This window comes from Homo sapiens, chromosome 3 (genome assembly GCF_000001405.40).
Source record: "Homo sapiens chromosome 3, GRCh38.p14 Primary Assembly".
Taxonomy (NCBI): domain Eukaryota; kingdom Metazoa; phylum Chordata; class Mammalia; order Primates; family Hominidae; genus Homo; species Homo sapiens.
The window spans coordinates 57635815-57652125 of NC_000003.12; the positions used below are offsets into that span (position 1 = coordinate 57635815).

General features: G+C 39.7%; 2 protein-coding genes across 6 annotated transcripts in view; one reads left to right on the plus strand and one right to left on the minus strand.

Moving 5' to 3' along the window:
* The window catches only part of PDE12 (phosphodiesterase 12), a 100222-nt gene that overhangs the window by 79541 nt on the left and 4370 nt on the right, over window positions 1-16311 (plus strand). The gene's annotated exons all lie outside the window — the stretch shown is intronic.
* Window positions 1-16311, minus strand: part of DENND6A (DENN domain containing 6A) — a 67624-nt gene that overhangs the window by 10361 nt on the left and 40952 nt on the right. For all 5 annotated transcript variants that reach the window (XR_007095649.1, XR_245100.2, XM_006713019.4 and 2 more), the window contains 3 exons: window positions 10502-10624; window positions 9847-9942; window positions 5839-5933 (listed from right to left, as the gene is read on the minus strand). Coding sequence is in view for 3 of the 5 variants with exons in the window: in XM_006713019.4 (XP_006713082.1) it covers window positions 5839-5933; window positions 9847-9942; window positions 10502-10624 (314 nt within the window). In the remaining 2 variants the exon portion in view is untranslated. The remainder of the gene's footprint in view (window positions 1-5838; window positions 5934-9846; window positions 9943-10501; window positions 10625-16311) is intronic.

Here is a 16311-nt window from a genome sequence, read left to right on the forward strand (position 1 = left end):
CATATTCACTTATACATGATTTTTTTTCCTGCCTCTGCCACCCCTGAGTTAGCAAGACCATTCCCTCCTCTTCCTCTTCAACCTACTCAGTGTGAAGGCTATGAGGATGAAGACTTTTATGATGATCCACTTCCACTTAATGAACAGTCAATATATATTTTATCTTCCTCATGATTTTCTTAGTAACATTTTATTTCCCCTAGCTTACTTTATTATAAGGATACAATATATAATACATAAAACATACAAAATGTGTGTTAATTGACTGTTTATGTTATTGCTAAGGCTCTGATCAACAGTAGGCTGTTAGAACTTAAGTTATGGAGGAGTTAAAGGTATACACAGATTTTCTACTACACAGGAAGTTGGCATTCCTAATCCCTGTATTGTTCAAGGGTTAATTGTAATTTCAGTTTTGCAGAGAAGCTGCCAAGTAATACAGTCTATAAAGGAAAGAGTGAAAGAGATTAAAAGAAAATTAGTCTATACTCCAAATGTGTCAACTGTCCCAGTAATAATTTTAAACAGATACTTGTTAAAAAAGCAGTATCATGGATACACAGACTTATTTTTTCATTGATTCAGTAAATATTAAGTAAATGCAAGATACTGGCAATACAGGAACAAAACAGCTAATTACCCGTATCAATGAGCCACAGTCTAACAGCAAAATATGATACAGAGAAATGACAATATGGAGGGAAAGGTGCTGGGATAGAATTATGAACAAGATACTACGGAGACACAGAAGAGTGTCCTGGCCAAAGAAGAGTAAGAAAATTATTGAGGATTCCTAAAGGAGGTAACAGTTAAGCCAACTTGTAAGAGAGATAAAAAGTTGGCCGGGCGTGGTGGCTCACGCCTGTAATCTCAGCACTTTGGAAAGCTGAGGCGGGTGGATCACCTGAGGTCAGGAGTTCCAGACCATCCTGGCCAACATGGGGAAGCCCTGTCTCCACTAAAAATACAAAAATTAGCTGGGCATGGTGGCACACGCCTGTAGTCCCAGCTACTCGGGAGGCTGACACAGGAGAATCACTTGAACCCAGAAGGCAGAGGCTGCAGTAAGCCGAGATTGTGTCACTACACTCCAGCCTGGGTGACAGAGCGAGACTCTGTCTCAAAAAAAAAAAAAAAAAAAAAAAGTTATCCATAGGAAGGAGAAAAGGCCTTTTGAGTAAAAAGTTAAATACAGAAGCATGAACATGTTGCTCAAAGAGTTGCAGATAATGGTAAGGACAATAATAGCCACCATTTACTGAAGATGTCCTCCGTGCCAGTCTCTGGTCCAAGAATACTGCACAAATTATCACATTTAATCTTCACAATAAGAGTTTATTTATGATGCCCATTTCACAGATGAAGAAACTAAAGCATGGGCAGAACTTGATATTTACCTGGTATGCACCAGAACCAGCTGGTTACTGCCATCATTCATTCTGATTAATGAGTGCCCTATTAAGACAGGTTGTTAGCTCTGTCATAACTAGACACAGAGGAACATCTTGTCAAGGATGTGGGTGCACTAAAACTAGGTACAATCCAGAAAAAGCAATCCCTTTATATCAGGAGGAATGATCCTTCTGCAAGGTTAACACTAAATATATGTTTCTGGTAAAGTTTCAGGACACAGGAGAGCAAAATCTTAATTCTGCTGTGCCTTCCCTCTTGGTTCTAAAGAAGATGTTTTTTTCTCTAATTTTACTGACCCTGCCAGATTTTTTTTTTCCTTGTAGAACTCACAGTCTATCTCAGGTTTCAAAGCCAGAATCCTGAGCAGGGCTGTGTTGCACAACTTGTGCAGCATTTGCAGTGGGCCTGGGTGTTTTTTAACTCAACAAGCAGAAAAATACTCCAAGATATAAACCACTCATAAATTAAAAGATATATGAGATTTCATGACTATGACACCAAATATACAAGCAATACAAAGAAAAAATAAATAAGACTTCAAAAAAAAAAAAAGCAGAAGAAAAAGAACAGAAGAAAACAAAAAAAATAAATAAATAAGACTATTAAATTATAAACTCCTGTGCACAGGCCGGGCACAGTGGCTCACGCTTGTAACCCCAGCACTTTGGGAGGCTGAGGTGAGTGGATCACGAGGTCAGGAATTCGAGACCAGCCTGGCCAACATGGTGAAACCCCATCTCTACTAAAAATACAAAAATCAGCTGAGTGTGGTGGCGCACACCTGTAATCCCAGCTACTGGGGAGGCTGAGACAGGAGAATCACTTGAACCCAGGAGGCGAAGGTTGCAGTGAGCCAAGATCATGCCACCGTACTCCAGCCTGGAAGACAGACCAAGACTCCATCTCAAAAAATAAATAAATAAAATAAACTTCTGTGCATCAAAGGACACCATCAAGAGAGCAAAAAGACAATACAAAATAGAAGAAAATATTCACAAAGCATATATCTAATAAGGATTACTATTCAGAATATATAAAGAATTCCTATAACTAAAAAAAAAAAACCCATTCAAACAACTCTATTAAAAGTGGGCAAAGGACTTGAATAGACATTTCTCCAAAGAAAATATATAAATGGCCAATAAACAGGCTGGGTGTGGTGGCTCACGCCTACAATTGCAGCACTTTGGGAGGCCAAGGCGGGTGGATCACCTGAGGTCAGGAGTTCGAGACCAGCCTGGCCAACATGGTGAATCCCTGTCTCTACTAAAAATACAAAAATTAGCTGGGTGTGGTGGTGCATGCCTGTAATCTCAGCGACTCGGGGAGCTAAGGCAGGAGAATTGCTTGAACCCGGGAGGTGGAGGTTGCAGTGAGCCAAGATTGCGCCACTGCACTCCAGCCAGGCAACAGGGTGAGACTCCGTTTCAAAAATAAATAAATAACTAAATAAATAAATAAATAAAATGGCCAATAAACAATGGAAAGATACTCAATATCACCGATCATGAGGGAAATGAAAATGAAACCCACAATAAAATACTAACTCATGCCCATTAGGATGGTTACTATCAAAAAAAATGAAAAATAACAGGCCAGGTGTGGTGGCTCCCACCTGTAATCCCAACACTTTGGGAGGCCAAGGCAGGAGGACTGCTTGAGCACAGGAGTTTAGGACCAGCAACATTGCAAGATCCTGTCTCTACAGAAAAAATAAAAAATTAGCCAGGCGTGGTGGCGTGCACCTGTACTCCCAGCTACTCGGGAGGCTGAGGCAGAAGGATCACTTGGGCCCAGGAGTTCAAGGTTACAGTGAGCTATGATTGTGCCAATGCACTCCAGCCTGAGCAACAGCACAAGACCCTATCACACACACACACAAAAAGACAAAATATTTAAATAGACATTTCACCAAAGATATATGAATGAAAGGAAGTAGATGAAAAAGTGCTCACCATCATTAGTCATTAGAGAAAAGCAAATTAACATCACCATTTCAAACATTCTAGAATGGCCATAATGAAAATGACAACATCAAATGTTGGCAGAGATGTTAAGAAATAGGAACCCTCATACATTGCTGGTAAGAATGTAAACTGATGGGCCACTTTGGCAAACAGTTTGGTGATTTCTTAAACAGATTTATCAATTCATGCTGCTCTACCAATGATTTTGTGCAAAAGTTATCTACCTACATCTAGCAGAGAGACTTCTTCCACTGGAAAGAGAAAACAATCAGTAGTCTACTACATTATAATTAATAGTCTAAATTAGTAGGCCCAAACCATGAAAATGTCAAGATTAAATTAAGATTTAAAAAAATTTATCATATCATCTCATATCCAAGACTCTAGCAACTGTTGTTCTCTGTATTATCATTAATACTCAGACAGAACAGTAACAGAATGGCAGGGGACCATGCCATTTACAGAGTACCATGCATCAGGCACTGTGTTTAATCCTCCTAGCAGACAAAAAATTTGAGGCTTAAAGATGCTATTCAGCCTATTAGCACACAGTTCTGATTGCCAAGATGAAGCCCTTTGCTTTTTCCTCTATTTCATAAGGCTTCTAAAAATTTCAGTAAGACCGAGTCCAGAATTTGTAAACAGTACTATTTAAAATGTTATCCTTGATTCTAATACTTCCATTTAGATATATGTATATACCAGAAGGAATATCTTGTAAAATCAGATGATTAAGTCATGTTTTAAATATATCTATGTATAACAAAAGGAACAAGTTTTAAAAGTAGTGGTTGCTGGCCAGGCGCAGTGGCTCAGCCTGTAATCCCAGCACTTTGGGAAGCCGAGGTGGGCGGTCTGGAGGTCTGGAGTTTGAGACCAAACTGGCCAACATGGTGAAACCCCGTCTCTACTAAAAATACAAAAATTAGCCAGGCGTGGTGGTGGGCGCCTGTAATCCCAGCTCCTTGGGAGGCTGAGGCAGGAGAATCTCCTGAACCCGTGAAGCAGAGATTGCAGTGAGCCGAGATCATGCCACTGCACTCCAGCCTGGGTGACAGAGTGAGACTCTGTCTCAAAAAAAAAAAACAAAAAAAAACAAAAAACAAAAAAGGTAGTGGCAGGGAGTGGTGGCTCACACCTGTAATCCCAGCACTTTGGGAGGCCAAGGTGGGCAGATCACCTGAGCTCAGGAGTTTGAGACCAGCCTTGCCAACATGGCAAAACCCCGTCTCTATTAAAAATACAAAAATTAGCCGGGCAAGGAGGTGGGTGCCTGTAATCCCAGCTACTTGGGAGGCTGAGGCAGGAGAAACACTTGAACCTGGGAGAGCCGAGATAGTGCCACTGTACTCCAGCCTGGGCAACAGAGTGAGACTCTGTCACATAAATAGATAAATGTAGTACATTATAAAGTTATTAGAAAATAACTTTATAATCCCAACTATTTCAGTGGAAAATTCATGAATGTCCATTGTCATGTCGGAGAGATGTCTTCCATTGGAAGGAGAAAATAGTCAGTAGTCCGCTACATTACAATTAATAAAACAGTCTAAATTACTACGCCCAAACCATGAAATAAATGTCAAGATTAAATTAAGATTTAAAAAATTTTCTCATATCTTCTCATACGCAAGACTCATGTCCTTAATTAATGTACCATTTAGTTGTCATCTAGGTTAACAAAACTTCCAACCTCAGAATTCATATACTTAAACATCTGTTAAACTCCTACCATGAACAAGGTACTGTATGTCTTTTCCATATGAAAAGACACTTTGAACCGCTCCCTAAATCAATAACCTGTGCTACAGGGACATATACTTGTTTTGAGACCTAGCTGTGTATTTTGTGATAAGTTGGGAATAATTCTAGTTTTCTATAAGGTTTTACTCAAGCAGTATTGGAAAGTTCTGTTTTATTGGGCTTCTATATATATAGAAAGTTCTGTTTTATTGGGCTTTTAAATATATATATAGTATATTTAAATATATATTTATATATATTTAAATATTTAAGTAATAAAAATATATATTTAAATATTTAAATATATATTATATATTTATATTCAATGTTATATTAAAATATATATTTAAATATTATATATTTAAATATATATTTATATTCAATATATTATATTAAAATATATATTTAAGTATATATTTAATATATATAAAGCTAACATTTTTAAGACTTCATTTTACTATAATTCTATAAGTGTTATATTATTATTCTATAATAATATAACACTATAAGTATATTTTTTGGTAGGAGGACATGACAGATTATACATATTATAAGAGCCTGCATATTTTAGTGGGAAATTAGCAGGAAATTATACCCTTCTCCAAAGGCCTTGAAGAAAGCTGCCATCAACATAAAAAATAATCAAGGATGAAAAGAAAGAAACCTGTTCAGCAACACTGCACACTAGAAACAGAACACCAAGTTTATACTTTACCTGTAGGTTTAAGGTCTCCTATTCGAATAATGTGTGGCCAGTGCTGGAGTGTCTTAGCAAAAAAAGGGTTGGTTACTCCTAATATAACTGAGGGCCTATAAAAAACAAAACAAAACAAAATAAAAAAGGTGAGAAAAAGATGAATGCTAAATCAGTGAAGAATAGTTTACTTTTTTTTTCAATGAACAATACACAGATTGATTTTTCCTTTATTCAACACATTACATATCAACTACATGCCAGGCAACACGTTTTACACTAGACATAAAAAGACGAAAGGACACGGTCCTTCCAGCAGCACACAGGAAGAAAGATATACACACCCAGTTATGATGCCAAAATTAGAAGACAGTGAAGGTGGTTTAAAATGCACAACAATTAGCCGAGCGCGGTGATTCACGCCTGTAATCCCAGCACTTTCGGAGGCTGAGGCGGGCAGATCACGAGGTTAGGAGTTCGAGGCCAACCTGGCCAACATGGTGAAACCCCATCTCTACTAAAATTACAAAAAATTAGCTGGGCGTACTGGTGGGCACCTGTAATCCCAGCTACTCAGGAGGCTGAGGCAGGAGAATTGCTTGAAACCAGGAGGCGGAGGTTGCAGTGAGCTGAGATTGCATCACTGCACTCCAGCCTGGGCAGCAGAGTGAGACTCTGTCTCAAAAAAAAAAAAAAAAAAAAAGCATAATAATCACAAAGGAGAACCTATGTCTACCAGGGGATTAAAGGACAGCCTCACCAAGGAGGTAATATTTACAGGAAGACGTGAAAGATGAGTGGGCGTTTTTTGCCAAGTGGATGAGAGAGGGAAGAGTGATGCAGAACAAACTATGTGCAAAGCAATGAAGTGACATTATGGCCTGTCTGTAGAACTACACAGAGTTTAGCATTCCTGGAGCAAAAGCAGAAAGGATGAATAGTCAGAAATGAGAATATTGTTGCCCGATCATTAGAGCCATGTTAGTATGCTAAGAAGTTTAGATGTTATCTTACAGGCAAAGGGAAACTACCAGATAACCAAGTGGAGGAATGCCGCATGAAAGAAAAAGCACTTATTAGAAAGATCAATCGGCCAGGCGCGGTGGCTCACGCCTGTAATCCCAGCCCTTTGGGAAGGCCGAGGTGGGCAGATCACCTGAGGTCAGGAGTTCGAGACCAACCTGGCCAACACGGTGAAACCCCATCTCTACTAAAAATACAAAAATTAGCCAGGTGTGGTGGCAGGCGCCTGTAATCCCAGCTACTGGGGAGGCTGAGGCAGGAGAATCACTTGAACCCAGGAGGTGGAGGTTGCAGTGAGCCAAGATCGCGCCATCACACTCCAACTTGGGGGACAAGAGCGAGACTTCATCTCAAAAAAAAAAAAAAAAGAAAGATCACTCTGGAAGAAATTTGGAAGTTATCTTATGAGGAGAGAAGGGGTTGAGGGAAAAGCAAATTTGGATATGCAAAACATGAGAGGCAGTAAGACTGGAAAGGGAGCAATAGAAAGAAGATAAGAAATGTAATCAGAGATATTTTAGGATATCAAACTGACAGAATTTGGTAAAATTTAATGTGGGGCATGTTACAAAGGAGAAATTTATGACAAGGTTTTGAGAACTAAGTGAAAACTAATGCCATCCATGAAAAGAAAGAAGAGGTATGAGATTAGGGGAGAAAAGAGGGAGACAAAAATAATTCAGTTTGCACATGTTTAGTTTCAGATGCCATTAAGACTTCTATCTTCTATGGGGCAATGTGCTTAAAACATCCCCCTCCCCCCACAACACACACACACGCCTGGTTATATAGGTCTGGACCTCACAGAGATATTGGCTAGAAAGATATATTTCAGTCATTAACATGGGGTATTAACAGAAGCCATGGGTACAGATAAGACTGTACAGAAAGGGCCAGGCACGGTGGCTCACGTCTGTAATCCCAGCACTTTGGGAGGCTGAGGCGGGTGGATCACTTGAGGTCAGGAGTTCGAGCCAGTCTGGCCAACATGATGAAACCCCATCTCCACTAAAAATACAAAAATTAGCTGGGTGTGGTGGTGCATGCCTGTAATCCCAGCTACTTGGGAGGCTGAGGTAGGAGAATCACTTGAACCCAGGAGGTGAAGTTTGCAGTGAGCTGAGGTCATGCCACTGCACTCCAGCCCAGGCAACAGAGCGAGACTCTGTCTCAAAAAAAAAAAAAAAACTGTACAGAAATAATTATCAGTCTGGGCCAGGCGTGGTGGCTCATGCCTGTAATCCCAACACTTTTGGGAAGCCAAGGTGGGCAGATCACGAGGTCAGGAGTTCAAGACCAGTCTGGCCAATATAGTGAAACCCTGTCTCTACTAAAAATACAAAAAATTAGCTGGGTGTGATAGTGTGCACCTGTAATCCCAGCTACTTGGGAGGCTAAAGCAGGAGAATCTCGTGAACCCGGGAGGCGGAGGTTGCAGTAAACCAAGATGGCGCCATTGCACTCCCTCCTGGATGACAGTGCCAGACTCCATCTCAAAAAAAAAAAAAAAAAACTATCAGTCTGAAATCAGAACTCAGAACACAATACCTAGCGAACACCAACATTTAAGGGATTCGTAGAGAAAAGAAGTCTGCAAAGAAGATTGGGATGCACCACAAGACAGCCCAGGAGAGAACAGTATTAGAGATTTACAAAAAAATTTTTTTTGAGACAGGGTCTCACTCTGTTCCCCAGGGCTGGAGTCCAGTGGCACGATCTGAGTTCACTGCAACCTCTGCCTCCTAGGCTCAAGCCATCCTCCCACCTCAGCCTCATGAGTAGCTGGGACTACAGATGCATGCCACCACATCCAGCTAATTTTTGTATTTTTTTTGTGGAGACAGGGTTTTGCCATGTTGCCCAGGCTGGTCTCTAACTCCTGGACTTAAGTGATCTGCCCGCCTCAGCCTACCAAAGTGCTGGGATTACAGGCATGGGCCATCACGACTGGCTGGTGATTAAAATATTTTTAAGGTTAAAAGTGTAAATGTTACAAGAAAGAAGAGGTGGCAGACCAGCCTGGGCAACAGGGAAGGGAGGGGAGGGGAGGGGAGGGGAGAGGAGGGGAGAGGAGGGGAAGGGAGGGGAGGGGTGGGGAGGGGAGGGGAGGGGTGAGGAGGGGAGGGGAGGGGTGGGGAGGGGAGGGGTGGGGAGGGGAGGGGAGGGGGAAAGACAGAAAGAAAAGGAAAAACAGGGCAATGATATGCCCACTGGGTGAAACAGTGAGAAGGGTATTGATGATCTGGCAAGAACAAATTCAGTGAATATGAAGAAGTCAATCCGCAGTTGACTAGAAGCAACCAGAAAATCAGGAAGTGGAGATCGTACATGCAGATTTTTGTTGTTGCTTTAGAAATCTAGCTGTAAAAAGAAGGTGAGCGATAGAGCAAGAGCTAAAAGGGAAAGGGTAAGATTATTTTTTCTTTTTACAGATTGAAAAGATTTTTCATAAAGAAGTACAACTGAAAGTACAACCCAGTCGCTATTAATGACAATATAGCTTCCATTAATAAATAAAATCACGTGGGCCGGGTGTGGTGGCTCACACCTGTAATCCCAGCACTTTGTGAGGCTGAGGCAGGCAGATCACAAAGTCAGGAATTCGAGATCAGCCTGATCAACATGGTGAAACCCTGTCTCTACTAAAAATACAAAAATTAGCCGGGCGTGGTGGCGCATGCCTGTAATCCCAGCTACTCAGGAGGCTGAGGCAGGAGACTCTCTTGAACCCAGGAGGCAGAGGTTGCAGTGAGCCGAGATCATGCCACTGCACTCCAGCCTGGGCGACAGAGCAAACCTCTGTCTCAAAAATAAATAAATAAAAATAAATACATAAAATCGCTCAAATAAGGTACTAACTCTTAAAATCTAAAATTATTTCCAGCAGCTCCTCAAACTTTCCTTTTATAAGATCATTCTGCCTATAAGCTTTTATTACCAAAAATAATTCTACACAATTTTGGTTATAAAGGTAATACCTGGTCAATAGAAGTTATTTTTACTTACGGAGCTTGGGTACGGGTAGTATATTCTTTGAATTCACTATCATGAATAGTGAAATAAGGTCGGAAATCACTGAAGTACTTTAATGGAGAAATACAGCTGTGGAGCAGGAAGAACATGTAAAATAAAGGACACAGAAATTAAAGGTCCTAATCTATAACTAGAAAACATCTATACAAACGGTATACACACAAAGGGATACTTTGTTTATTTTAATAAATGGTAAACTCATTTCACAGAATTAGAAAGACAGATATATGTAATGTGAAATGGCATACTGAAAGAACACACTGGGTTTGGGGCAGAAGATGCGGTGAAATTCTGGCTCTACTGTTCACTAGCTATGTGCCTTTGACTCTACACTGATCATTCACACAAGTAATATTTATCAAGGAACAACTTCATGTAATGAATCAATGTGCCTGCCACTCAGAACAACAAAGGCATGGTTCCAGCCCTCAGGGAGCCTGAATCAATTTTCTCATCCATAAAATGGTGCTATAATAAGCATTACCTTCTGATAGGGTTTTTGCATGGATCAATGCAATAATGGGTGGGGAAAAATACGACAGGTGGGAAGTGCTGCAAATATCACCAACAGGTTAAGTACTGCAGCATCCAAAAAAAAAACCCAGAAATAGTAACCAAATAGACTCACTTAACAAGTGCCAATACAGTCTCTGATGATTCCGATGGTGATGGCGCCATAACCACAAGGGGCTCCCCCAACAGCACCAGCTCCCAGAGCATCTGACTATGAAGGAAAACTGGGCAGAAACACCTGAAAGGTGATGCACAGTAGAAATACTTTTTAATGTAGCCAATCCTGTTTTTAAAATTCCTACATAATCTTTCTAAAAACTCCACATTGATATAAATTCTTCCTGCTATTTGTATCCTGATCTGATACACAAATTCATTTAGAATATGGTGATGTATAGAGACATAAGTCCCTTTTATCCACATAAAAATATCTATCAATTTGACTCATCCTAATTTTTACAAAATTAAATGTAATATATTGACACACAGAATAACTGACAATAAAAGCATATAATTCTCAAATTGTTGTACCATATGATCGATCTATTTTATCAATATTGCTTTGATACTTTGAATTTCAATCCTAAATATTTTTAAGGAAATAAGAAAAATTAATTTTCCAAGGGCACTTATTGGATATACTTAACTTAAAACCCAATACTTCTGACATTAAAGAATGATGACAAATCACAAGGGGGAGTGCTAATGCTGAACAAGAGCGAAACTCCTGGGCAGATACTCCCTCTACAGAAGTGCTGAGTATTTTTACAGCAGCCCTGGAATTGGGTGGAGGCCTGTTGGGACACAACTCTGCTAGTATGTTACCAGGCCTAAGACACTTGGTAACTTTCACTTATTTAGGAATTTCCTCCTGGCTTGGTAAAAAATTTTCCTAGTAGATTAGGGGGGAAAATCTTATCTATTTATGAAAATCACAACCAATCCACTCAGTTGAAAAGACACACATGCAAATAAAAAAGAAAAGAAAAATCAAACAACAATTAAGTGCAAAAATATGCAACAAATTATGAGATGGAAATTAGGGGAGTTAATTTTAACTATTCAAAAACAAGATAAGTGCCACAAAAGAAACAAACAACAACAAAAAAACAGCTCATGGGTAAGGCAAAGGAGCTCTTCCTCTTCCCTTCCTAAACAACTCAGTCCTAAAGCAGAACATGGTAGGTATCTCTGCCATGAGGGAAAGAGAGCCGTATTGACCAGGGAGGCGTGTCAGAGCTTATGTAAGGTAAGGTGGACATCTACATGCAGATAGTGGCCTACTGTGGAACTGCTGGAGCCCAAATGTGGTGAGCAATGTATACATGTGTGGGGATTATTTGGTTTCAGTTCACAGAGCCCAGGAAGCACAGACAGGTAGCCTGATGAGTAGCATCAAAGACAGAATGAGTTGAGGAGGTTGTCACAATGTGGGACCACCTGGCATAAGGTGTCAGAGCAGAGAAATGAGGGTATCTCCATGGAGAAGTACCCTGGAGTAGGGTAAGCACACAAGCAGGGTAAGGAGAGCACTCATGTGAGGCTTGACCTGGTGTTGAGAGTCAGAGCCCAAAAAGGGGAAGATGGCACCCACCTGGAGATGTGGTCTAGTGGGACAGAGTAACCTGAATGAGACAGGAGGGTATCCATGGGGGTGGGGGTGGGGGGTCAATCCAACAAGAAGAATCAGAGAGTGAGCAGGGTAAGGAGGGTATCCATGCAGAAGGGAAGCCAGGTGTAGAATGTCAGGGCCCAGTGGGGATGAGAAAACTATTAGCTTGGGGGACAAAGTTGCAGCAGAGTCCTAGCCAGAGCAATCAGAGAAGAGAAAGAAATAAAGAGCATGCAAATTGGTAATGAGGAATTTAAACTGTCACTGTTTGCTGATGACATCATATACCTAGAAAACCTTAAAAACTCATCCAAAAACCTCCTAGAACTGGTAAATGAATTCAGCAAAGTTTCCGAATACAAAATTAATGTACACAAATCAGTAGCTCTCCTATACACCAACAGCAACCAAGCTGAGAATCAAATCAACCCCTTTTACAATAGCTGCAATACATAAAATACTAAGGAATATACTTACTCAAGGAGGTGAAAGACCTCTACAGGGAAAATGACAAAACACTGCTGAAAAAAATCACAGACGACACAAACAAATGGAAACACATCCTATGCTCATGGATGGGTAGAGTCAATATTGTAAAAATGACCATACTGCCAAAAGCAATCTACAAATTCAACGCAATTCCCATCAATGCCCTCCTTACACTGCTTGTTCCCATCATTCGTCACAGAACTAGAAAAAACAATCCTAAAATTCATATGGAACCAAAAAAGAGCCTGCATAGCTAAAGTAAGACTAAGCAAAAAGAACAAATCTGGAAGCAATACATTATCTGCCTTCAAACTACACTGTAAAGCCATAGTCATCAAAACAGCATGGTACTGGTATAAAAATAGGCATATAGACCAATGGAACAGAACAGAGAACCCAGAGATAAAGCCAAATGCTTACAGTCAACTGATCTTCAACAAAGCAAACAAAAACATAAAGTGGGGAAAAGACACCCTATTTAACAAATGGTGCTGAGATAATTGGCAAGCCACATGTAGAAGAATGAAACTGGATCCTCATCTCTCATCCTTTACAAAAACAAACTCAAGATTAATCAAAAACTTAAATCTAAGACCTGAAATCATAAAATTTCTAGAAGATAACATTGGAAAAAACCCATCCAGGCATAAACCTAGGCAAAGACTTCATGACCAAGAACCCAAAAGCAAATGCAACAAAACAAAGATAAATAGATGGGACTTATTTTGCTTCTGTACAGCAAAAGAAATAATCAGCAGAGTAAACAGACAACTCACAGAATAGGAGAAAATCTTCACAATCTATACATCCAAACAAAGGACAAATATCCAGAATCTATAAGGAACTTAAATCAGCAAGAACAAAATAAACAATCCCATCAAAAAGTGGGCTAAGGACATGAATAGACAATTCTCAAAAGAAGATATACAAATTGCCAACAAACATTAAAAAATGCTTAACATCACTAATTATCAGGGAAATGCAAATCAAACCCACAATGCACTAGTACCTCACTCCTGCAAGAATAGCCATAATCAAAAAATCAAAAAATAATAAATGTTGGTGTGGATGTGGTGAAAAGGGAATACTTTTACACTGTTGGTAGAAATGTAAACTAGTACAACCACTATGGAAAACCGTACAGAGATTCCTTAAAGAACTAAAAGTAGATCTACCATTTGATCCAGCAATCCCACTACTGGGTATCTACCCAGAGGAAAGGAAGTCATAAAAAAAAAAAAAAGATTCTTGCACATGCATGTTTATAGCAGCACAATGCACAATTGCAAAAATATGGAACAAGCCCAAATGCCCATCAATCAATGAGTGAAAAAAAAAAAATATATATATATATAGTTGTATGTGTGTATATATATATTTGTCCCCCATGCTAATACTTTTCTCATCTCCCCTGGGCCCTGACATTCTACACCTGGCTTCCCTTCTGCATGGATACCCTCCTTACCCTGCTCACTCTCTGATTCTCCTTGTTGGATTGACCCCCCACCCCCACCCCCATGGATACCCTCCTGTCTCATTCAGGTTACTCTATCCCACTAGACCACGTCTCCAAGTGGGTGCCATCTTCCCCTTTTTGGGCTCTGACTCTCTGTATATATATACACACACACACACACACACCGTGGAATACTACTCAGCCATAAAAAGGAATGAAATAAAGGCATTCAGAGCGCCCTAGATGGAATTGGAGACCATTATTCTAAAGTAACTTAGGAATGGAAAACCAAACATCATATGTTCTCACTCATAAGTGGGAGCTAAGCTATGAGGATGCAAAGACATAAGAATGATACTATGAACTTTGGGAACTCAGTGGGGAAAGGGAGGGAGGGGGTGAGGGATAAAAAGACTACATATTGGGTACAGTGTACATTCCTCGTGTGATGGGTATATCAAAATCTCAGAAATCATCACTAAAGAACTTATTCATGCAACCAAACACCACCTATTCCCCAAAAACCTTTTGAAATAAACAAAAAACCTAAAAAAAAAAAAGTTGCAGCAGAGATGCAGCATTGATTACTAACAGAGGTATTGATTAAATCAGTTAATAAAAAATAATTTAATATATGAGTGTGTATATATACATGCATTTACATACACACACACACACACACACACACATACATACACACACACACATCCTAGCTTTGTCCACTTGAGAGGGTCTAAAAGCAATGATATCTCAATATCAATAAGCACACCAAGTGCCCAGATCTTGTCTTCTAAATCTTATTCTCTGCTAAAAAGAACAAAGGCTTTTTAGAGAAATGGCTGGTTCTAGGGCTTGGGAAGAGAAAATACAAGATGATCTGGAACCCAAGAGAATGGAAAACATGTCCACACAAAGACGTATACACAAATGTGGACAGTAGCATTATTCATAATAACCAAAAGTGTAAACCATCCAAACCTGCATCAAAAGGTGAATGGATAGACAAAATGTAGTATATCCACATGGAATTTTTTTTTTTTTTTTGAGATGGAGTTTTGCTCTTGTTGCCCAGACTGGAGTGCAATGGCGCGATCTTGGCTCACCACAACCTCCGCCTCCCAGATTCAAGAGATTCTCCTGCCTCAGCATCCAGAGTAGCTGGGATTACAGGCATGTGCCACCACACCCGGCTAGTTTTGTATTTTTAGTAGAGATGGGGTTTCTCCATGCCAGTCAGACTGGTCTCGAACTCCCGATCTCAGATGATCTGACCACCTTGGCCTCCCAAAGTGCTTGGATTACAGGCGTGAGCCACTGCACCTGGCCCATCCACATGGAATATTATTCAACCATTAAAAAAATGAAGTACAGACAGTCCCCATGTTACAATGGGTCGACTTACAATTTTTAACTTTATGATGTTGCAAAAGCAGTACGCATTCAGTATGCTCCTCAACATATGACAGACTTACCTCCAGATAAGCCCATTGTAAACTGAAAATATCAAAAACGCACTTTCAACTTACAATTTGCAAACTTACAATGGGTTTAACAGGACATAACCCCCTTATAAGTCTAGGAGCATCTGTACTGATTCATGATACTGCACAGATGAACCTTATAAACATTATTCTGGGTGAAGGAAGACAGACACAAAAGGTCACATTTTGTATGATTCTAGTTAAATGTAATGTCCAAAACAGGCAAGTCCATAGAGACAGAAAGTAAATTAGTAATGGCAAGGGGCTGGGAAGAAGAGGGAATGGGAACTGCTAATAGGTACAGGGTTATGTTTTGAGGTGATGAAAATGTTCTGGAATTAGCAGTGATGGTTGCACAACTTTGTGAATATATTAAAAAACTAGTGAATTGTACTTTAAAAGGTTGAATATTGTATGATATGATAATTACAAACCAGTTTATTTAATTACCAAAAAAAAAAAAGATAAACCCGGAATATCTCACACCAGAAAGCAAGACAGTGTTCAAAGAATGACAGAGATATGGCAAAAGAACATAGAAGCCACCCTGTACTAAGTTCTCACTGGCTAAACTGGGACAATTTGAATATCAAAATAGGTAATAATGGATTAGAATCTATTGAATAAAACAAGAAATCAGAGTCCAAACAGATATATAAAAATAGTGTGGTGATTTAAAATATGTCCAGGCTGTGCATGGTGGCTCACTCCTGTAACCCCAACACCTAGGTGGGAGGATCACTTGAGGCAAGAGTTTAAGACTGGCCTGGGTAACATAGCAAGACACCCTCTCTACAAAAATAATAAAATAAAAATAAAAATAAATAAATAAATAACATCTGTCCACAAATTCTTTGACAGTCCTTTCAAAACATGGAGCCTAATTC